Source organism: Homo sapiens, chromosome 4 (assembly GCF_000001405.40).
Source record: "Homo sapiens chromosome 4, GRCh38.p14 Primary Assembly".
Taxonomy (NCBI): domain Eukaryota; kingdom Metazoa; phylum Chordata; class Mammalia; order Primates; family Hominidae; genus Homo; species Homo sapiens.
Window position 1 is genome coordinate 177,559,172 of NC_000004.12, and position 25,323 is coordinate 177,584,494.

At 35.5% G+C, this 25,323-nt stretch overlaps 1 long non-coding RNA gene and 1 other non-coding gene across 22 annotated transcripts in view; both read left to right on the plus strand.

Annotated features, from left to right (window-relative positions):
• Positions 1–25,323, plus strand: part of AGA-DT (AGA divergent transcript) — a 255,397-nt gene that overhangs the window by 116,658 nt on the left and 113,416 nt on the right. The window lies entirely within an intron of this gene.
• Positions 21,688–21,750, plus strand: LOC124900889 (U7 small nuclear RNA). The gene has a single exon (XR_007058521.1). It is a non-coding gene; the product is annotated as a U7 small nuclear RNA (small nuclear RNA).

A 25,323-nucleotide genomic window follows, 5' to 3' on the forward strand; every position in this document is an offset into this window, starting at 1 on the left:
CTACAACCCTCCTGCTGGTTCCATCCCTCTGTGGGCTTCCTGCAGCTTGGTTCCTGCTGTTCTATCCCTAAGCCGACTGCAGGCAGGGTGACCATCTGCTGCTAGGTCACAGCTGCCTCTTCAAAATTATGCTCTGGTTCCTCTGTCCCATTTTAAATGCCTGAATATTGTTATATGTTGCTTTTATCATCTCCTGAAAAGCTGCCAACACAAGTCTCTATTTGGAATCATTGGTCTTGAATATTCCTTTAAGACATATACATCTCATCTCTTATTTTCTAGACAAGTATCATACAGAGTTCTTTCCTAAAGCAATGGTCCCTTCTCTGATAGAATCCAGACTCTCAAGTAAGTGAGAATTACCAATATATACCACATTAAGTCTCACACTATAGATATTAATTTTTTTGCTAATAAATGTGAATGCTTATATTTGATTTTTAAATTTTATGTTTTCAGTCATTGATAGGACATTTGGGCTTAGTGTTTTTGTGTAACATTAAGAACATGAAGTCACAAATGCAGCTAGAGAAGAGACAAAGCATGGGAATTTTTTTGGGGCGGGTGGCGGGGGGGACGGAGTCTAGCTCTGTCGCCCAGGCTGGAGTGCAGCAGCGCGATCTCGGCTCACTGCAAGCTCTGCCTCCCGCGTTCACGCCATTCTCCTGCCTCAGCCTCCCGAGTAGCTGGGACTACAGGCGCCCGCCACCACACCCGGCTAATTTTTTCTATTTTTTAGTACAGATGGGGTTTCATCGTGTTGGCCAGGATGGTCTTAATCTCCTGACCTCGTGATCCGCCCACCTCGGCCTCCCAAAGTGCTGGGATTACAGGTGTGAGCCACCGCACCCGGCCGGGAAATTTTTAAGAGTAATTAAAGAACATTGCTGGGCAGATCTCCTGAGATATGCTAATTCTTGGGTGAGTTAACATGGTTCATTCATAAGAGTTCTTTCTTCTTTGGACAGAGTATCTGTGGGCTTCAGGTTCCTGGGGAACAGCTTTTAATAATGATGTTTGATAGTATGGCCTACGATTGTCTATTTTAAAATGTAGCATTTTCTCATATCATAAAATTCAAGGACATAGCACTAAATTTTGATTTGATAAAGCCATTTCTATAGAGATCTAAGATAAGATAGCCTAGACACATTGTATTCCAAAGATCTGTTTTAGGAATAGAATACTAGAGACTCATTATATTTAGTGTAAAACACTTAGGTACTTCTGAGTTTTCTAGTGATCACACTAAAAAGAGTACAAAGAAACAGGTACAATATATTTCGGGCTGGGTGTAGGTGGCGTGCACCTGCAGTCAAAGCTATTCGGGAGGCTGAGGCAGGAGAATTGCTTGAACCTGGGAGGCAGAGGTTGCAGTGAGCCAAGATCGTGCCACTGCACTCCAGCCTGGTGACAGAGTGAGACTCCGTCTCAAAAAAAAAAATTATATATATTTCATGTACCCAATACATCCAACATATTATTTCAACATATAATAAAAAATTATAAATGCAATATGTTAATTCTTTTCTTGGATAATCTAGTGTGTATTTTACATTTACAGAACATCTCAGTTGATACTAATAATATTTTAACTGCTCAATAGCTACACGGATCTGGTGGCTACTGAATTGGACAGGACAATTCTAGTGGAATAACTGGCTATTATGTTTTTTGTATAGCCCCTTTTAAAAACTCAGGGCCCGGCACAGTGACTCACACCTGTAATCCCAGCACTTTGGGAGGCCAAGGTGGGTAGATCACTTGAGGTCAGAAGTTTGAGACCAGCCTGGCCAACATGGTGAAACCCCATCTCTACTGAAAATACAAAAATTAGCCAGGCGTGGTGGTGCATGCTTGTAATCCCAGCTACTGGGGTGGCTGAAGCAGGAGAATAGCTTGAGCCCAAAAAGGCAGAGGTTGTAGTGAGCCGAGATTGTGCCACTGCACTCCAGGCTGGGTGATGGAGTGAGACTGTCTAAAAAACAAAAAGAAAAACATACAAAAAATCAGATATTTCCAGTATGTTTGACTAGTGCTATATGACATTGAGATGGTTGAATTCAAATGTAGGTAGCAAAATTTCAACTTTTTTTACAAAAGTTGAAAGCCCAGTTTGTCTTCTCACTCAGATAGGTAATCATTAACACAGAAATCTACATACTGGTAAGTTGTAAAGTTTTTTTACTCCCACTTTGGGTGATAAAGATGATAGTTACTTCAATTATCTTAGCAATTATTTACTTTCAGAGGTGCAAGTTGGGCAATTCATTACTGCTGATATTGTTTAGGTTGTCACAACTTTTAAGATCATGTATATCCTACGAGACTTGAAATAACCTTCCAAAGTTTAGGTTATTACCTTTGAGAATTCACTATAGTAGGAATTAACTGGGTGACACATTTAAATCAGTCAAGAATCGCATTTTTCTTATGAAGTTAATTTGTATAATAACACATTTAAGAGTAAGATAAACAGTACAACGGCATACAATAAGGAGTTAAAAATAAATTGCTACTTTCTATGGAAAGAAAAGTAGTAAGTTTAATGGTGAAATTCCCTAGGAAAACCACACAACTTAACATCTTATTCTTGCCAAGTAGCATGACCTCTTTAAAAGCTCTCATCTCATTTCCAAAAGGAAATAGAAAATCAATGAAAACATCAACAAGTAAAGTAAGCTAGGTGCTTCAGAGAGGAAATAGAAAATCAATAAAACACCCAGCAAAGTAAGTTCTATAGTAACATTTGTAAATGAAATTAATATGTGTTAGAGAATGTGTGTGTTCGTGCAATGAACAGAATCACTTAATGCACACTATTATAGAAAAGTTAGTTCCTCAGAGAGTTCATGCTATGATGCTTTTCTTGGTTTGCATTTGAAGCAAAGAGGGATAGAATTAACATGAATGCCTTATGATATATTTAGTTAGTGGATCCATTATTGTAATTTAAGTTGTATTTATACTGAATAATCCTTATTTTATATTTTACCTGGATTGAATTTTGAAACAAAACTGGATATAAGATGGTAAAAACCTAGAAATTTCATTTTCATCAGTCTTTCTAATATACACTCATGCACCGCATAACGGTGTTTCAGTCAATGATGGACTGCATATGTGACAGACCCCAGATTATAATGGATCTGAAAACTTCCTATTGCCTAATGACATCATAATCAATGCATTACTCATGTGTTTGTGGTGACGTTGGTGTAAACACACCTACTGTGCTCCCAGTCATATGAAAGTATAACACATAGAATTCTGTACAGCACATAATATTTGATAATCACTATTTTACTGACATGTTTACTATACTATGCTTTTATCATTATTTTAGAGTGTACTCCTACATATATGTGTATATATATATACCGTTAATTAGTATAATTAATAACAATACTAATGAACAGTTAATTAGTACTAATTGATACTAATTATTATTATGAGTGTATATATATATACTGTTAGCCTCAGGCAGGTGCTTCAGGAGGTATTCCAGAAGAAGGCATTGCTATCATAGCAGATGGCAGCTCCATGCAGTGGGATAAGATGTGGAGCTGGAAGATGGTGATATTGATGATCCTGACCCCGTGTAGGCCGAGGCCAGTATATGTATTTGTGTCTTAGTTTTTAACAAAGAAGTTTAAAAAGTAAAGAAAAAAATAGAAAAAAAATGTAGAATAAGGATATAGAGAAACTAGTCAAAGAGTTAAGAAATAAAATGTATAAAGTAATAATGTTACAGTAAGCTAACATTAATTTATTATTAAAGAAAGAAAAATTGGATCCCATGAATGTAGTGTAGCCTAAGTACACAGTGTTTCTGAAGGCTACAGTGGTGTATGGTAACATTCTAGGCCTTCACATTCACTCATACTCATTCACTGAGTCACTCAGGTCAATTTCCAGTCCTGCAAGCTCCATTCATCCTGAGAGCCCTTTACAGGTGTACCATTTTTAATCTTTTATACCGCATTTTTACTGTACCTTTTCTGTGTTTAGGTATGTTTAGAGATACAAATACTTACTATTATGTTCTAATTGCCTACAGCATTCAGTAGAGTAACATGCTGTGCAGGCTTGTAGCATAGGAGCAAAAGGCTGTATCATTTAGCCTAGGTGTGTACTAGGCTATACCACCTAGATTTGTGTAAGTACACTTTTGTTGTCTTGATGTTCACATAACAACTAAATTGCCTAATGTTGCACTTTTCAGAACATTAAGTGATTCATCACTGTATATAGAACCATTCTGATCAAATGTTACATTTGGATTTTTCTTCTGTGTTTAGTCACAGTATAAATTTTATCACATTTTATTCACATATTTAAAAGACAATGCCAGCTTTTCTAGAAGACTTCATATATTTATAGAACAAGGCTTAACGTATGAATAAGAATCTAATTCCTTTTAAATAGCTTTTAATCTATATAATTTATAATGACTTTTAAATTACCTCTAGATATTTTTAAGTGGTAAAGCCTTTGGAATTATGAAATTGCATTCTAAGTTTAATGTAGTTAGTGCTTTGGTAACTTTGATACTGTAGGATGGGCCATAAAATAAATGTATCCTGAAAAGATTTTTTTAATTCCCATTTTAATCAAGAAAATGTGAGATATGAAGATTATATTGCCATTAAAATAAATTCAAAAGCTTCATTTACTTTTTAAAATAAACTTCTCATTTTAGGAGAGTTTTATATTTATAGAAAAATCATAAAGATAGTACAGAGAGTTCACATATAGCCCATCCCCAGTTTTCCCTATTTATCTTAAATTGCTATGGTACATTTGTTACAATTAATGGACCGATATTGATACATTATTTTAAAAGTCTATATTTTACTCATATTTCCTTGGGTTTACCTAGTATCCTTTTTTCTGTATAAAGATTCCATCCAGGATGCAGGATTATATTAGCTCTCATGTCTCCTTAAATTCCTCTTGGATGTAACAATTTCTTACACTTTTCTTGTTTTTAATGGCCTTTCATAGTTTTGAAGGTTATGGCCAGGTACTTCATAGACTGTCCCTCAGTTGTGACAAATGTTCCTAATGTTTTGGGGAGGAAAACCAAAGGTAATGTGCCATTTTCATCACATTACATCAGGGAAACATACTATCAGCAGAAGCAATCACTGTTGATGTTGCCATTGATTACCTGACTAAGAATAGTGTGTGGCAATTTTCTCCAATGGGAAGTTTCTCTGCCTACTCCCCCTTTCTATACTACATCCTTTAGAAAAAAAGTCATTAGTGCAGTTCTCACTTAGGGAATAGGGAGTAATGTTCCACCTCCTTGAAGGTGGAGTGTCTACATAAGTTGCTTGGCATTTTCTGAATAAAAGATTTATCCCTTCTCTCCTATTGATTTATTTGTTTCATCATTTTAACAGTATGAATTCATGGACATGTATGTAATACTTGGGGACATAATTCTATACTACTTTATGTTATTGCTTGAATGGTTTCTGCTTTAGCTGATCTATCCCTTTGACACACCACATCACCGTATGGGGGTGTGTGTGTGTGTGTGTATGCACATGTTTTAATTTTTTTTAGTTCTTCCTTACTTCATGGCACTAAAGGATACTGTAGGCTTCTCTTCTATATTTCCTACCCCAAGCCTAGAATCCACCATTTCTCCAAGGGGTCCTTGTTCCTTTTGTTTCAGGATGGTATCAGAAACAGACACCTAGGAGCTTTATACGCTCATTGCTGCTGGGTGTCATTGTTTCTAGGACTCTTAGCTGACACAGCAAGGAAATACACACACACGCACACACACACACACACATCATTTACTTTTTCGATCCCTGTTTACCTATGTGTTTTGGCTGCATGTTAGTCACAGAAAGGCTATATTAATACTATCTTATATTTGTGGACTGCATGTTTCAATGGGTTAATAATGATATGCTACCCATAATCCCCTCTCCTCTCCATACCAGCCTCATTTTATGGGTGGAGTCACTATTTGTCTAATTTGGTTTTAAATAGTGACTTTAAATTTTTTAACCAGGCAGACCTATTAAAAATAGTGGTCATCTGACATACAAAGGAAAATGATAGAGGTTTGTACAAGTTTTTTATCAAAGCAAGGAAGGAAAATTATCCTGACTTGTGAAGTTTAAGGATGGATGAAGTGTTTAAGCTCATAAGCAATCATAAAGTCCATTTCCTTGACCTTGTGATTATTTTGGGTCTTTCTATAAAAAATTTCATTTTCTAGCTCATGTTACACCATGTGCAGTTTTGATTACTGCAATATGGTGTTACTGCTTTACCAAAGGTAAATATTCATGCCTCATTTTTCCAACCATATTTAAGCTGGTCTGTGAAGCTTTGTTTTTTGTTTTGTTTTGTTTTGTTTTGTTTTATTATTATACTTTAAGTTACAGGGTACATGTGCACAACATGCAGGTTTGTTACATATGTATACATGTGCCATGTTGGTGTGCTGCACCCATTAACTCGTCATTTACATTAGGTATATCTCCTAATGCTTTCCCTTCCCTCTCCCCTCACCCCACGATAGGCCCCCATGTGTGATGTTCCCCTTCCTGTGTCCAAGTGTTCTCATTGTTCATTTCCCACCTATGAGTGAGAACATGCAGTGTTTGGTTTTTTGTTCTTGCAATAGTTTGCTGAGAATGATGGTTTCCAGCTTCATCCATGTCCCTCCAAAGGACATGAACTCATCATTTTTTATGGCTGCATAGTATTCCATGGTGTATATGTGCCACATTTTCTTAATCCAGTCTATCATTGTTGGACATATGGGTTGGTTCCAAGTCTTTGCTATTGTGAATAGTGCCGCAATAAACATACGTGTGCATGTGTCTGTATAGCAGCATGATTTATAATCCTTTGGGTATATACCCAGTAATGGGATTGCTGGGTCAAATGGTATTTCTAGTTCTAGATCCCTGAGGAATCGCCACACTGACTTCCACAATGGTTGAACTAGTTTACAGTCCCACCAACAGTGTAAAAGTGTTCCTATTTCTCCACATCCTCTCCAGCACCTGTTGTTTCCTGACTTTTTAATGATTGCCATTCTAACTGGTGTGAGATGGTATCTCACTGTGGTTTTGATTTGCATTTCTCTGATGGCCAGTGATGATGAGTGATGATCATGTGTCTGTTGGCTGCATAAATGTCTTCTTTTGAGAAGTGTCTGTTCATATCCTTTGTCCACTTTTTGATGGGGTTGTTTTTTTCTTGTAAATTTGTTTGAGTTCTTTGTAGATTCTGGATATTAGCCCTTTGTCAGATGATTAGATTGCAAAAATTATCTCCCATTCTGTAGGTTGCCTGTTCACTCCAATGGTAGTTTCTTTTGCTGTGCAGAAGCTCTTTAGTTTAATTAGATCCAATTTGTCAATTTCGGCTTTTGTTGCCATTGAAGCTTTGTTTTTTATTTGACTCTTTTAATTATTTAACTAGTATTAGCTTTTATTTTATGTATTAGCTTTTGCTAACAAAAAAAGTCAAAATCTCAATGACTTACCTCAAACACTTATTTTTGCCCGCTTGTCTCTATACATCTTCTCATTCTGAGACTCAGGTGCTGGAGGAGCCTCCATGTGGCTAATGCTGTGCTCATGGTAGAGAACCAGGAATACAAGCCCTGCTAAGCCCGTTGCAACCACATTAAGCTTCTGCTTGGATGCAGAAAGGGCATATGTCCTCTCATTCCATTGGCCAAAGTCCAAAGTCAATGCGTCAGACAGGATCATCTACTCCTCCTGTAGAAGCACAGGAAAGTTATGGGAAAATCGCAAAGGATGTAGAAACAAACTACAGAGAGTGAATGAGGAAACACAAGCAAGAACCCAGCCTCAGAAACTTTGCCTAAATACTTATGCATTAGAATTACATCAGCTATACGTGTCAGAAAGACCAAGAGAAAATGGCTTAAAACAAAGGAGAAGTTTATGTCTCCCTCACCCAAATGAATGGTCCATGCTCAGTATAGACCTTCACAACGTTCAGGACTGAAGCTCTTTCTACGCTGTTTCTCAGCTGTATGTGATGGTATGGTTTAAGATGGTTCCAGGCAGTAGTATGGAGGAAGAGATGGTGAAACAACACATCAGTTGTTTTTTCAGAAGGGTTTAGAAAACTGCTAAGTAATAATTTTATTTACATTTTATTGGCCAAAACATAGTCACATGATTATACATAAATGCAAGGAGACTTGAAAATATGGTCTTATTCTTTGTTTCTCTGTGCCCAGCTAAAATTTTTATTATTGTGGAAGATGTGGAGAAAGAGTTGGGAATGAAAACATGTTAACAGACTTGGAGCAAAGTTCTTTGAATGAATCAGATAAAGTCTAAAGAATGAAGGAACATAAGGTAATCAACAAAAGACCAAATGAAAGGCAGAAACAGGTTAAAAAATTCAGAAAATAATGGTTCAATTGAGTGGAAAATGCAATGAGGTAACAACAGGTAACAACAGACTTTGAGCAGAGAAGAGAGATGGCTGGAGGATGGAAATAACTTTGAATTTTTGTAGGAGATAGGTGCAAATCAAGTTCTCAAAGAGTTAAAATTCAGTATTTTTCTGCTAACGTAACGATCCATCTCAGGAATCTTAAGTTAACCAACAATTGCCCCAAACTTGTTTCAGTTCTTCTTATGACCTTTCATTTAGATTAGTTTTAAGTAATTTATTTCCTCTGGTATTCTAATCAAATGGCTTAAAAAGGATCTCTGAGATTCCTGAAGTATGCTTGGCTGTTCAAATATTTTCCAAACAAATTAATGGACTTGCAAATCAGACAAAAGAGAAGTTAGGCTGAGACTGCATTGTGTGCTCTGTAAAGCCAGAGAATGAAAGGATGCACTGTGTACCAAGACATTGACTTAGGACAGTAAATGTGAATACACCTTCTTATAGCAACGAGCAAATGTTGGTTTAAAAATACTGGTAGCACAGCCGGGCGTGGTGGCTCACGGCTGTAATCCCAGCACTCTGAGAGGCCGAGGCGGGCGGATCACGAGGTCAGGAGATCGAGACCATCCTGGCTAACATGGTGAAACCCTGCCTCTAGTAAAAATACAAAAAATTAGCCGGGCGTGGTTGCGGGCGCCTGTAGTCCCAGCTACTCGGGAGGCTGAGGCAGGAGAATGGCTTGAACCCGGGAGGCGGAGTTTGCAGTGAGCCAAGATCGCGCCACTGCACTCCAGCCTGGACGACAGAGCAAAACTCCGTCTCAAAAAAAAAAAAAAAATAATAATGGTAGCACACTAGAGCATAACGGGAATTTTATACTGACAATTTCATTTACAGTATTTAATTCAGGAACATCTCTATGAATATAGGCACTCGATATGTTTCATACCTGTGTTCTTATACTTTGGTACCTATTCCTCATCTTTTGTAAATGGTATTTAAGACACATCCTAATATTTCTGAAGTATTCAGGGATATTTTTAAAGTGTGGGTGACGTATAAATCACCAGCTAGTTGTATCTGGTGCGTTTTACTTTGTGCTTGAGAATGGCATTGCAATTCTGGCCAGTGACTATAGAGTAGTCATTTTCTAGTTAATTGGTTTTAAGAAAGTTTAATCATTACTGGAAGCACTTAAACAGACATCAGGTTAGACTTGACGTTTATTTATTTATTTTTTACGTTTCACCCTCTTGGTCTTTTATTCTTTTATTTTAAGTCTTGTTTTATTTTAGCATATGAAGTGAATGCAGACCATTCTAGCATTGTACATCTGGGGGACTACCATGACCTTTAAGAACAGCAGCATCAGAGGAATCTGGGGAAATATATGCTTTGAACATTTAATAACACCACTGCCATGACTTAGTGAATATTTCCATGCCTGTGTATTATGAAAATATAGCACTGGGACCATGGTTGAAAAGTTCAAAACCACAAAAGCTGAAGAATACATGGCATTTCAAATGTCTGCATTACTGTTCTGTGAGATGTTTAGTTCTACTTTGCTAGAGCCGGGATTATTTAAACCTCGGTCCTGTAGATTATAACAAGAACAGTTGAAACAGCGATGATTTCATATCTGAGATGACTCTATAATGTAAAATGCTTTTTAAATTCTCAAGTTTAATCAACAGTGTGTGAATGTAAAGGTTGTTATAAACTCATGATCAGTGTTTTACAAATAACCTGAATTCTTTTGAACTAGCTGTGTTTTGACAGAGGTTTTTTTTTTTTTTTTTTCTTTTTTTGGTTTTTTGCTTCTCTGACAAAGGCCTTTGGAAGAATGAGCTTCTTCCCCCACATCTTTATTTATTTATTTATTTTTAAGCTATGCTCAGGAAAATGAACATTTCTCCTTTGCAGTTGATAACAGCATTTACAAGGTATACAGCATATAGGGTTGTTCCAAATTCCTTCCCCAGATAACCATGCTTGCCAAATAGCTTTGACTTTGCAAAAACATTGCATTGTTGGACAAATGCCTAACATGAATCTTTCCCAAACTTTCGGTTGGGGAAGCAAATATGTGGAATAATGCTCAGAGCCATTTGCTGTTCAAAGGATTTCAGATCCTCCATCCAGCCCCACAGATACTCAGCCTTTGCTACAGTTTTAGCAGCATGCTTGGCTTTTTTGACAGCAGTAATAGCTCTTTGGCCCACTTTCTCTTCTAAACTTTATCTAAACTTCAAACTCTTTGGCTTTTTCCCCCTCTTTTGCTAAAGCTAGTGATCACATGCTGAATAAATAATCTATAGACCATGATCTCCTGTCCTGTCAGGCTTGTTACCCAAACTCTAAACCAGCGATGTCAGAAACCTGCCTGATAAGTATTCCCAGGTAGATTTTCTAACTACCTCCCCCACTGGTTACCATCATCATTGCTTACATACTTCCAGAACTCCCTCATAGCACATTGACTATATTTGGAAGAACTAATTGGTGGTTCTGGTGTCTTTGTTAGGAAAAAGTGACACTTTTTGAAGTTAATAAAAATCTCTTCAGCTACAGCCTTTTATCAGATGTAACAAAACATTGTTTGAACAAATATGTTCTCAGTAGTAGTGACAGTTCCTTTCTGCTTTTCCTAGCCATCAACATCTTAGGAAAGAAAATGGTAGAAGTTCCTTAATGACATAAAATTAGTTTTTGAATAATGGCAGCTCCTGATAGAATATTGCTTTTCAAATCAAGAACTCAATTAAATTAGGTTCCAATTGGATTGCATCAGCATTTTTATATGTCTTTAAGTAACATATTTTTCATTTGATCTTAAGCAACTTTTAATATCTATTTCAATTCTGTACAAACATTTTTTACTATATTAACGGCTCTTAGAGGAAAGAAGCATATTTATCAAATATCACAATTAAGAAAGTGACTCTGTGATTATTCAGGTGTGACATCAGCAAAACTAAAAAGGGTTCCCTTTAGCATTTACTAACAGAATTTTCTTGAGAGGCAATGAGAAGCAGAGAGATCATGCTCTTTGGGGACAGAAAGTTTACCTGAATACAACAGAGCTTGATTTATTCAGCAGTGACTGAGAATTCAGTACAGTCTTTCAATATTTGAACTCTAGTATAAGATGTACTTGTAAAAATTTCTTTATTTCCCATTTGTAAATGTTAAAACAAACATATTCTTGTTTAGTGTGAGGGAAAAGGATAAATATAATCCACTAAATATAGTGCAATGCCGATGGGTGGCTGGGTACACTCGATTCTCCCTCCTCCATGATATCGTTATCTACTCTCAATTCACCCTCATTCACATAATACCTAATTGAAATACATTGATAACCTGAAGACTTAAAAAAAAAGGAATTTGGATGCTACCACTGTTTTATAAATTATGATTTTGATATGGGAAAATAAAAAAGTTTATTCATAGAAATCTACTCTGCTGCTTTTCAGGAGCCTTATTTTTCTTAATTAAATTAAATTAATTAATTAATTAATTTTTTTGAGATGGAGTTTCACTCTTGTTGCCCAGGCTGGAGTGCCATGGTGTGATCTCGGCTCACTGCAACCTCTGCCCCTGGGTTCAAGCAATTCTCCTACCTCAGCTTCTTGAGTAGCTGGGATTGCAGGCATGCACCACCATGCCTGGCTAATTTTTTGTATTTTTAGTAGAGATGGGGTTTCACCATGGTGGTCAGGCTGGTCTCGAACTCCTGACCTCAGGTGATCCACCCGCCTCGGCCTCCTAAAGTGCTGGGATTACAAGTGTGAGCCACCATGCCTGGCCTATTTTTCTTTCTTTTAAAAATTTAGATACTTATTTTTAAATGAGAATAGAAAATATTAAGTGATCTAGTTACTTTGTTTTCTTTTTAGCCTAGTGAACTACCAAATTCAGTTGATTTTTTTTTGCATAATCAAAAGTGATACATGAAAATATTAAATCTAAGCAGGTAGATGAATATTTGAATGAGAAGTTGTGCCAGTAGTATGTACATTAACCCAGTAAAATTTATAAATCAGTTCACTAAAAAATTCAGCTAAGCATAACTAACTTGACAATTTTGAATAGTAAGCTATTATTAGCACTTTTTCCACAAGTATATCATATTTCCAAAATATTCAGCACTAAAAATTTTAAGGTTAAAATGGGACTTTATCAAATTCATAAGTATTTTGAATTCAGATGTAAAATAAATTATTTTTATTATTTGAAGCATTCGTTAATTGCACCGTTTACTCAACAAAAATGTGTTGAGTTTCTTTTTTGTACCAGGCACTGTGTAAAGTATAAGTGTGTAAAGTATTACTTTACTTTATAAAGTAAAGATAGGTGAGATGTTCATCCAGCCTTCAGTGACTTTACAGAATTAAAATGTTTCTTAATTAAAAAAAGAAAGGCTTAAACCAAGTAAAAGCCCAAACTAAAGCAAACAGAAATGGACAGAAGACAAAATTCACTGAGGAATTAGCACCAATAAATACACAGGTGTGTTTTCTCACCTGTTTTGTGGGATTAAACTGAGGCAATATTTTCACGAAGTGTATTATTTAGTCTTAAGAAACCCCACGTGTTTCTTAGTTCGCATAAAAGCTGTTGAAATGGGTTAAATAAAAAGTGGTGTTCATTTCACTAGAGATCAATGACTCAAACTGACACTTGTTTCTAATGGTCAGCAAATTTTATTTTCAATGTGTGTATTACTTTTTCATAATCGCAAACCAAAGTTTGCTAATCTTCATCAATCTCCTGAGTATTTAGTATAGTAGAAATGATTTGTTTTGAAATATCAGAGCATATGATGATGGACCTTAATTGTGTGCTGCTACAATAGAATACCACAGACTGGGTAATTTTTAATGAACAGACATTTATTTAGCTTACAGTTCTGGAGGCTGGTAAGTCCCAGATCAAGGGGCAGGCATCTTGTGGGGCCTTCTTGCTGTGTCATAACATGGCAGAAGGGACGACATGTGCAAGAAGGAGGAAGAGAGAGAGAGCACGCACTCGCAGGCACTTGAGAGAGTGAGAGAAGGGGTCTGAACTCATCCTTTTATAAATAAGCCAGTCTCTCAATAATGACATTAATCCTTTTAGGAGGGTAGAGCCCTCATGACCTAATCACCTCTTAAAGGTTCCATCTCTCAACTCTGTTGCATTGTGGATTAAGTTTACAACACATGAACTTTGGGGGACTCATTGAAACCACAGAAGTGACCTATGTTTAATCTTTGTACTATGAAATTTTCCTTAAAAAATTAAATCTAAAAAATTGTAGCTAATAGGTGAAGAATTATCTTATTATCACACTGTTATAAATTGTATTTCTTTATTGCTAATGAGGTTCAAATAGTTTTTTGTTTTATTTTTCATTAACACATAATGATTGTTTATAAAATAATTAAATTTTTAAAATACTATCTTTAAGTCTTTGTGTTGAAACTAAAGACCAAAATACAAATATTTAAATTGGAATGACCTAGATATATAAATATGAAATTGAGGACTTAGATCCTGATGGATTAAAATGGGTTGGCAAATTTCTTCTGTAAAGGACCAGATAGTAAATATTTTAGGCTTTGCAGGCCATATGATCTCTGTCCCAGCTACCTAACTTTTTTGTAGTACTGAGAAATCTTCCACCAACAGTGCATAAATGAATAGACATGGATGTGTTCTTTTTTTTTTTTTTTTGAGATGGAGTCTCACTCTGTCACCCAGGCTGGAGTGCAATGGCGCGATCTCAGCTCACTGCAAGCTCTGCCTCCCGGGTTCAAGCGATTCTCCTGCCTCAGCCCTCAGCCTCCTGAGTAGCTGGGATTACAGGCACCCACCACCACGCCAGGCTAATTTTTTGTATTTTTAGTAGAGACGGGGTTTCACTGTATTAGCCAGGATGGTCTTGATCTCCAGACATTGTGATCCACCCACCTCGGCCTCCCAAGGATGTGTTCTAATAAAACTTTCTTTATACAAACAGGCTGGGTACTGGATTTGGCCTAAAGGATATAGTTTCCCAATCCCTGGATTAAAACATACATTGAGTGGATAGGCATTTATGTTAACCACAAATGTGACTGTGTCTTTGCTGATGAGTCATTGCTTCAAAGACTGAGATTCATTAACTTTTGGGAAGACACAAGCTGCTTGTTTCTCAACTCTATTTTAAGGAAATAGATTGCACTTCTTTCTTTCTCATAATCAGATAGGGATCATGTTGTACTTACTGCAGCTCTGCCAAGGAATCAGTTTTTTATATCAGTGCTTCATCCAATTCCTTCCCGCCATGGCATGTTTGGAAAAGAATCATATTTATATTAAATACTTGGGCAAATGGCTGAGGCTGCTTATGGATGAGGATTTTGATTATGCCCTTTAAATTCAAAGAATTATCACAGTATTCTCACTTCCTTCCCAATTCTTCTTTTCCTCTCCCCCACTTTTTTTTGCGGCCCAATTCTTTGCAGGCTTGAGTTCCTCTAAATATATCCCCCCAAAATGAAGGTGACAAACACTTGCCAGGAATGAGATGAGATGCTGCGGTACATTACTTTTACATATTTTAGTGACCCCATCTATTTTCATTTTTGTGAAGAAACCAGGAAAAATAAGAGATTTTCTAAGGCCTTATTCAGGATTAAATTTACATATTTACATATGATATCTATCTTTTAAAATCTGAAAGAAGTCTCTTTTTCTGGAGTCTTCCTTGTCCTCTGAACCCTTTTCCCTCATGTTCAGTTACTTGTTTATAAAATAATGTCAGCGATCTCAACTTTTTCTAGAGGAAAGTGGGCTCAGAAAAATAAGTTTGAAAAGTAAAGCAGAATCTCCTCTCGTTAATCCTCAGAATCTGTACGAGTCACAGTAAATTATATTTGATGCTGAAACAAACAACCTCACAGTAAATTATATTTGATGCTGAAAAAAACAACCCAAAATTTCTGTGGCTCGCCAAGTTAAGAATATATTTATCACGGACATTCCAGTCTGATGATTCAGGTGACAGTTAAGTTCAGGCAGAGGTGCCAGAACTTCATGCATTAAGCAAACTCGGCACCTCTGTTCAGCTAGTGGCTCTTAGGCTCTGAAGTTGTCTATAGACGAGGGACTAGAGAGTGAAGCTGGAAGATCTGAATGTAGCCAACACTACTTCTGCCCACGTTTATCTGGGGACCCAGTTACGTGGCCCCATGTAATGGTAAGTGAGCATGGGCAATATAATCTAGCTAATCGCATAGAGGAAAAGGAAACAAGGCTTGGAGAATAAAAATCATTGTTTCAGCCCTAGCCACCAAAACAGGTTTTCCACGAAGCTGATGTTTATACAGGCATGCAGTTCCTACTTGGTGTATGCTACCTGCAACATCATCTTCTCATACTCAAGGAGAAGCACAGGGAAAAGTACATAAACCTCTGAATGAAATGGTGGAAACTATCATTCTAAAACTCTGAGAGAAACACCAACAAGGGGAATAGGGCTGAGCTTAGGTCTCAAGACTACAACTGTGAATTTGACTATAACACAAACTCTCAAGGACAACAACCAAGTGAAGGATGTATTGTAGATAAAATCATGCTTAGTTGTAGAGATTTTACAGACATACATTCATGTCAACTGCCAGAACTCTAAGTGGTAGGAACCAGTCTGCTACAATAGATCAAATGAAAATGGTTTAAAAATGAGCACGATGATTAATAGATAAGTATTTGATTAATAGGTCTGTAGGATATGTATTTGATTAATAGGTCCATACACACACATATGGATGCCCAGGCATACCCCATACTCTACTTCTTTCTCATGCTTTCAAACTCAACTTTCACATGAAAAATTCTTTCTTATATCTTTTCTTTTCCCCTTGACTGCAGTATTCATGATATATGATATACTGGCACCTTTTAATATAAAGGCCATCAGGAACATTTTTGAGAATTATGGATGTAAGCAATGCCACAGAGTGTCCTTTAATTTTTTAAGGTTACAGTGGTGAGCTACTTCAAATAGTCCTGTTTGCTTATATAAATCAAATGAAAACATTGGTGAAAATATACACAATCAGATGATATAGGTTATTAATCCAAATTTTTTAATGTTCAAAAAGTGATCTACTATTTTTCAGAAGTATTTTATAATTTTAGTACAGCTGGCAGTTGAAACTTACCATTACATTTCCTGACCCAAAGCATTAGATACAAACTCATTTGTTTTATCTATAGACATGAATTTAAACCATTTTCTAGTGACTAGATATTGTTGCTGGAACACGTGGAGCTTAACAATAAAGTAAGCGTTACATAGCCTTTAATAAACTGTGATTCTGTTTCATAATGTTTTGATGCCATAGATTATCAGAAAATGGTATTAATGTTCTTTCCCAAAATAACATTCATAAAACTTTCCCAAATCGCTTTTTAACTCAAACCTTTTATTTGATGCATTAAAATAATGTTTATTGGAGGGTTTTTTTTTTTGGATGAAATTGAGACATTCAGGTTTATTTTTTTAAACAAAGTAAGCTCATTTATTTAAAACTCACCACAAGCTATAATTTGCACACACTCATATGCAAAAAAAGCCTGGACAGCTGCACTGGTGACATAGGTACATCAAAAAGATCTGAATTATCTATGTGACAGAACTTCTGAAAAGCCTTTTTTCTTTGCATCTGTTTTAAACCGTTCTTTTCTATTCCTGCATCATTTCTCAAATGCCACCCATGCTGTCTCCATCCCTGCTTTCCTGATCTTCCTTTCCCTGCTCTATTTTTTCTATAGCACTGATCATCTTTTAATAGATAATACAAATTGCTTATTTGTCATGTGTGTTGTTTATTGTCAATTTCCCATTCTAACTTGCAAATTCCATGGGTAGGTATTTTTGCCTGTCCTGTTCCCTGATGTATTCCAACCACCAGGAACAGTGTTTTCTCCATGTCTATTTCTATATTGAAATATGAATCTAACTACAAGTATTACTTGCTTAACCTTTATGTGTGATTCGTCTTCTTTTTGCTCACAGCAACAACAGCAAAGATCATCCCAACTGTCTCTTACATTCAGATGGTTAATAGCTCTGATGACTATGGGTTGCCTCCACCAAAGTTAGAACCTGCTGTTTGAGTCTAAGGACCTTGGACCCAGCAGTCCATTATTCTTGTGCACACCAGAGTTACCACTGAAACTACTCTTCTATGATTCTAAGTGTTTGATCACTAATGCACTTAATTCCAAATTAACTTGAAAAAAATCCTTAATTCCTTTTGAAGTCATCTCAAATCATTTTGGAAACAGGGTCAATATAAGTAAATGCATAAATTTGCTGTTGAATTACACTTTCTTTTTCTACTTAATTTACGTTTTTTGCTAAGGAACCACTTTTCCTTACAAGCAGTATCAAGATTCTTTTATTTCAAAGAACTGTAGCACTGTGCAGATCTCATGTTTTCCTCATCTACCATTCATTTTTATGCAAATGCAAATTAGTCTACTTAAAATAAACACCAGGAACAGCTTTGTAGGGGATGATATCTCCTTGAAAGTGCACCAGACGTCTCTAGGCAAGCAGGGGGAGGTCTGAGGGCTTTGATTTCTCCTGTTTCTGTAGCACTATTGTTCTCTACACTTTCCCCACTAAGGGCTGTCTCCCTTAGGTTACTAACAGCTATAGCATTATCTTGCCTTCTGTAGTACAAGTCCTGAAGCAGCTGCTGTCATACTCTACAGCAGTGTTTTCCAATCTTGGAGCATGAAATCTGACAGTATACAGTAGTTGATTAAACTAGCTTTGTTTGTTTTTTAAAAACCAGAACAGCATAGTATAGAATATAATAAAATGGAACAGACTAGTATGGAACAGAGTAAGATGTATCAGAATACTCAGTAAGGTTAAGTATCACTTCATTAAGTAGTAATTTCTTATCATTTAATATCTATAATATACATGTATTATAGAATCAACAAAGAGAGTGCCATTATTCTAGGTTAGGGATTCTTAACCAAAAACCTATGATATGGGCTTTAGAGTTTTCATAAACCTCTTGAAATTGTACATATATTTGTGCTTATGTATGTTTTATATATGGATTTACAGACTATATATGTATATATACATATGTGTGCACCTATATATGTATATATAGTATGCATATACATATATTTTATTTCTTTATACACACAGTCAAGTCACGTGCTGCATAACTGTGTTTCCAGCACCAATGAACCACATATATGATGGTAGTCCCAAAAGATTAGAATCTTGTATTTACACTCTACCTTTTCTATGTTTAGTTATGTTTAAGTACACATATGGCCATTGTGTTTCAATTGCTTACAGTATTCAGTAATGTGCTGTATGGGCATATAGCCTAGAAACAATAGGCTCTACCATATAGCCTTGGGGTGTAGTAGGCTATTATACCACCTAGGTTGATGTAAGTGCCCTCTATGATGTCTGCACAACCATGAAGTGTCTAATGAGGCATTTCTCAGATCATATCCCTGTCACTAGATGACATATGACTGGAGATTGTTTTTAGGGACAGAATCGTAGCTGCTATCAAGCTTTCAAACTGGGCTTGTAACCTCTAAGTTTAGGAACTTCAGTTCTAGGAAAAGATATTCTCACTAGAGAAGTTCATGAATCAGGAATTCCCAAAGTCAATTAGCATCCAGTGGAGTTTTCGGCTATTCTTCCATACCAGAGCGGGCCATATTCTGTTGGTTTATTTTTTGAGAATTGTTAATCTTAAATAATAGATGAATTTGACCAGGTTATAAAAATCTCTTCATGTTAAGGTAATTCCTTCCTTGTCACTTAAAATTTACTCAATAAAAGTACTGGTTGGATATTTTTCATGTCCAGGCCATATCTCTGAACTTAAGAGACTTACAGATTAATAATGAACATTTGTTTATAAAGTCCTGGCTGCTAGGCATAGTTCTAGTAGATTTCACAAGGTTATTTTAGTACTTAACAAAAACCTTGAGGAAAAGGTATTATCATCCTCGTACAAGGAAACAGAAGCTTGGAGAGTTTCTGTTAGAGATAGATACATAAATTCACCAGCTTGGTAAGACACAAAGCTATAATTGGAACCTGTGTCTTCTAATGTGTTTTCCAGATGCATGTAAAATGAATGGATTTCTAAGAAGGTGAATCCTTTCATTATGTCTTTCATACTTATTTTACATTCTGTGTTTAGGTCATTATTAGTACCATTGGATCAAATATGTCACTGAAAGTGATCTGTTAATTTGTTGTTCAAATTGGTACACATTAGAATGCGAAAAGGTGCTCTACTGGTAATTACTATAGTCTCAGGCAAATCAGAATAGATGGTTACCCCAAATGACGCTAAAGAATCGTGTTGGTTTTCTTTAGGGCTTCTTAGTGGTCTAAGAACAGCAGATTTGTATTTGCTGTATAGTCTGGTTTTATCACATGAGCAATTCATTTGTATCGTATTCATCTGTGGATTGATTTGTGTAATTCTACCATAATTTTCCATTGGTCAAATGTGTCCTTGTTTCACTATAGATTTCTTAGTTAAATAAAGTTCAGAAATGATAAAAGAATTGAGCTACATATTTAAATGTCTGATTTTCTGATATATAGTCACCATATCCAGGAATTATTCCAACTTTCAGTATAGATGTTTTAACAATTATTGAACAAAAGTAATTAAAAATTATGTATAATTTTCATCATTGATTTTAAGGATATTATATATCACTATAATAGTAGAAATAATTTTTTACTTGTAGTAAAAAGATGTAGTCTTGAATCTTGGCTATATAATTCAGTCTTTGAAACTTTGAACAGTAATTCATGTCTTTAAATAAGAGCTTTCTCATTTTTAAAAGGATATACAAGTTTCTGCTGTAACACCTCAGAGGAACACTGTAAATACTAAATAAGATAATATGTGAGTGCTTTGGAAATTGTAAAGAACTTTAAAAAATGTATGTCTGTAGGTGTATATATTTACATATATACATTTTGATGTCTACATTCTCATCTACATTAAAGCTTAAATTATTTTGCTTTATAGATTTTAGCTAATATTTTAAAACTTTAAATAACTATACATAAACAAAACCTTCTATAGCTTTAAAGTAATAATTTAAAACCCCACCAAGGAAAGTAATTTCTAATTTACTTCATGGAGCTGTTTCCTAAAAACGCCCTGAAGATGGCACAATAAGTACATTTTGGTGCAAATATTACTAAAGAAGTTGTAAGAAAAATATATTTGAGGTTAAAACACTAAATTTAAAACAAGCCTTTTGTAAGTTTGTGGAAAAGAAATAGTTTCTGAGCCTTTTAACCAATGCCCATTGTTTTAATGTTACAGAAGTCATTTGTTTCATTGCAGTTTAAGGAGCACTACAAACAGGTAGCTAGTCAGAAAACTGATATTGTCACATGTTACTGACAAGAGTCAGGTTAGTTCATGTTGCACAGTTTTATCAATAAATTTACCCTTGTAATTGTAAAACAGCTGATAAGCTCATCTGTTATCTTCTGCATAATGTACAATCTGTATCTAAATGCCAGTTTTTATTAGGCATTATGGGGATAAGGACTAGCAGAGAGAAAAGTTGAAAAATATCTGTTTTATTAAAATATAAAATACAGTAGGCCCTATTTTTAGAAAAAATATTAGACAGTTATAATGATTTCTGTGGGGTTGTAATACTTACAAGTTTTAAAAATATACATCTATATTATAGGCCAACTATATATTTTACGAAGATGAAGTAGAACTCACGAAATGACAGTTAGTAGAAATAAAGGTGCCTTTGGAAATACACAGGTGTGAAAATATTTATGCTCTATCTATTTGAGTATCAGAGGTTACTGTTCTCAGCCATCTCTGTGACTTACTTGTTTCTCTATCACACACATATTAAATACTTATAATATGTATAATGTAGTCTCTACCTATTAAGGATTTAAAATCTAAATATGACCAATTATATATTCATATGCATACACATATAAATGTTACACATAAATTAATGTTATATATTGGTTGTAAATACATGTCCATACACATTCACTTACTCACGTTAAATAAATACCTAGGTGAAAAATAGGTTTTGTAATTAAATTCATATCTAAATCCTCGAAGGAAAGTTTGTGTTTTTATGGGTGTTGGCAAATTGTGTCTCACTGGAAGGGACTTCTTTAACTTACCTTTTGAGAACTGAACTTTAGTCCCAACAAAACTGATTTATTAGTGTTATAACTCTTCTATAATTTGTGTAGCAGGTTTTCCGGTCTTCACTAGAAAAACTCATAAGGATACATTAAACAAAATGATTTATTATGGCATTCTTAGAGCACTGAGATACTAGAGGAGCATAAGAAATTTTGACAATTTGGACGTTAATTACAATTTTTTTTCTGTGTCAATATCCCAAGGCCTGTTGATTTTTTTTCAGGATCAAAAGCAATATGATTTTTGGCGATTAGTAAATCACGGAAATGTCAATATAGTCTTTTCAATTTAGATGGATTGCTAAAAATTAAAATGATATGAAGTTATAGCATTTGGGACTTCATCAGTTTATAATTAGGAACTGAGGCTGGGTGCAGTGGCTCATGGCTGTAATCCCAGCACTTTGGGAGGCCGAGGCTGGTGGATCACCTGAGGTCAGGAGTTCGAGACCAGCCTGGCCAACATGGTGAAACTCCATCGCTACTAAAAATACAAAAATTAGCCGGGCGTGGTGGCAGGTGCCTGTAATCCCAGCTACTCGGGAGGCTGAGGCGGGAGAATTGCTGGAACCTGGGAGGCGGAGGTTGCAGTGAGCCAAGATCGCGCCATTGCCCTATAGCTCAGACCAACAACAGCGAGACTCCGTCTCAAAAATAAAATAAAATAAATAAAGAACTGAAAGTCTTATCATTTGTTTTGAGCTTTTCTTCTTGTGTTTCTTTTTGAATGAAATATCTGCTTATTTAAAATATTTTAGTAGACCTTTTATGTTCAAAATCTTTAGGTAGGGAAAATGGGAGTATATATTTAGAAAATTATAGATTGTGATGCTTACAAAAAAGTCATCATAAGTTATCAAAAGAATAATGGATGGTTCAAAAATGTCTAAATGCTTATGAAGCTGATTGTCAATGATGTGTTATTTGGAACCGTATGGGTCAATTTGACAATGTGTACTTAAGGATGTCAGGCGACATGTTGCTGAACTGACTGCACTGCCTCTTTTAAAAATGTTTTAAAAACTGGCCGTATATACATTTATCTATGTGGTCTTTGTTAGTATATTTTTCACTGTTTTAAAAATATTTTTAAAAACAATTTAAAAAATCTTAAAGAAATGAACAAAATGGATGAACACACTAAACAAGCAAACAACGAAAAAGCAGAGAGAGAGGAAAAAAAAAGCTCTTACCTTGCAACATGCTATTTTGAACTTAATCTGACAGAATCGCAGTCAGTCCATTGTTTGAAGGTTCTCAAAAGAATGTGAGATCTTATTTGATTGAAAGAAAACATGGCTTTCAGTCATAATTTTCACATTTCACTGGACTTACTTTATTTTCATTGTAGAGTGGTATTTCATGACCTTGGCAAGGTTATAAAACCATTCTGCATTGATGTAGCATATCCTATAGATGTTAGAATGACCTGGTTAGTATACCATCTCTTTCAAAGTAGTCCCAAATGATTATTAAATACATAATAATATATTGAATACTTTCTGAGATCCATAGTTTAGCATCCAGTGTCTCTAAGGACTGTTACATGTTAATCCAAGGAAGAAAACGGTATAATCTATATTATGATGAAAAAATCAATAAATGTGAATGAACAACATTGATTGATTTATAGACATAATGAAAAGTAGTGAAAATAGCTGAGAGAGTGATAATTTGCTGCTATGATATTTCATTGTAATTAATTAGTTGTTCATATTTTCTTAGTTGAAGAGATTTTGAAATTTGACTTTCCATATATTACCTGGGAGATGGCATTAAATGAAATAAAGCCTATTGTTATTATTCCCAATTAATAAAATCTTGTGTATTTGTTGATAGCATGCTTTTGTAAAACAACTTTTTTGGTGGCCACACAAGAACACACATAACAATGTTGTAGGCATTTGAAAAAGGAGCATAGTAAGCTTGAAGGGAGTGTTAAAAAATGGACTATTTTACCTTCATTTGCTTCACTTAATTGTTCTAAAATGTTAATAAAGAAAGTTGTTATTATATTTTTAAACTTTTTGTATTGGTTTCTTTGTTCTGTCTTATTGGGAGTATAGTTTTACTTATCTTTCTCTATAAAAATAGCAATCTGCAAATAGATATGTTTTAAAATGTCTATAGCCACCTATCAATTAAAGAGTATGTCATCTTCTGTTCCAAAAGACTCTAAAATAGAAGTCATTATAATGATTTAGATGTGACATTGTGTGAGTAGAAGGCTCTGTGAATGATCTCTAAATACTTCTTAGGGCATTAAGATTGTGAGACTTTCTGAATGAAGTTTGGGTGTTCCCCAAGCAACCATTAGTCATGGTAAGTTATTCATGTACATGATCTCCTTATCTTGTCTAAATAATCATTGTTAGCACATGACCTTTAGCAACATTCATGTTATGCTCACTGACAGAATGTAAAGGGACTCTACATTTGGCATGCTTAGTAAATGGCTTCAGGTTTTGGTTGCACTGATGTCTTTCTTTGTGAAGACTCTAGAACACCTTTGACTTCCTTTAGTAACACTTATTTGTCAGAGAATATTTAGGGACTTCAATGAGACACTCACAAAAGACAGTTCCTACCACAGTGGGTTCATCACCACCACCACCCTACTACTGTAGTGTTTTGGGTGTTTGTTGGCCACTGTGGTGCTGGGGCCCTCACTATGTCTTTGCTCCCTCCACCTCTCCTGCCCGTTGCTCCAACTCACCTTTCAGACTGATGCCAGACAAATCTTCCTCAAACACTGCTCCTATCGTGACCTATGTGAGTGAGGGTTTTGTGGATTATTTTTTCTTTGGCCCAACCGTGAAAATAATTTAACCTAATCTATTTTCCTTTTTGTTTTAAGTAAGAAAATGAAGAGTGAAATTCGGCATAGCCAAGTAATCAGCATCCAGCTGTTTCAAGTAGTGTGTAGCCCACCATCTCTTCCTCCTGTTTAATTAAATTCATTAAGTCCATTAAATTCGTCAAGCAGACAATGCTTGGTTTTATTCCCTGATGCCTAATTTTGCATCATATTGTACTGTGTATACCACTTCATGTCCTCGTGGAGATAAGTGCAGTATAATTCTTAAACAAGAAATCTCAGGCTTTTGCTCAAGAACTTCAAATGTTTCCCAGTTTTCTACTGTGTCAGTTCTAAGTTCTGCTATGTGGTTTACAAGATTCTCTGCTCCATGTATTTATTTACCACGAATTCTCAAAATGTACTCTCTGTCTAATTAGGCCTATTAAGTTTCTCTGAAGCTGTCATAGCCCTTCTCGCCTTTGCTTTCCCTGGAGCCCATCATCTTGCCTCTAATGTACTCTCTTTTCCCCACTCCTATGTCAATCTCACCATTCTGTCCTTGAGAGACTAACTCACACAACTTTTTTATGAAGCCCACTGTAATTATTCATGGATCTCCTTCTTTAATAGTAAATGTTTCTGTTTCTGTGCTGCAAAAAAAATCATTCTTAAATCTTGATACATTTTGCATTGACTCCTTAACTATATTATACATTTTAGGATTTTCGTGGGTAGGAATTATGTCTTAAACTTTTTATGTTTCACAAAATCTCGAATATAAGATTGAGGACTCATCTAGTAAGCATTTTGTGGCAGAGATCTAACCTCTTTTAATTCTTCTACATATTACAGA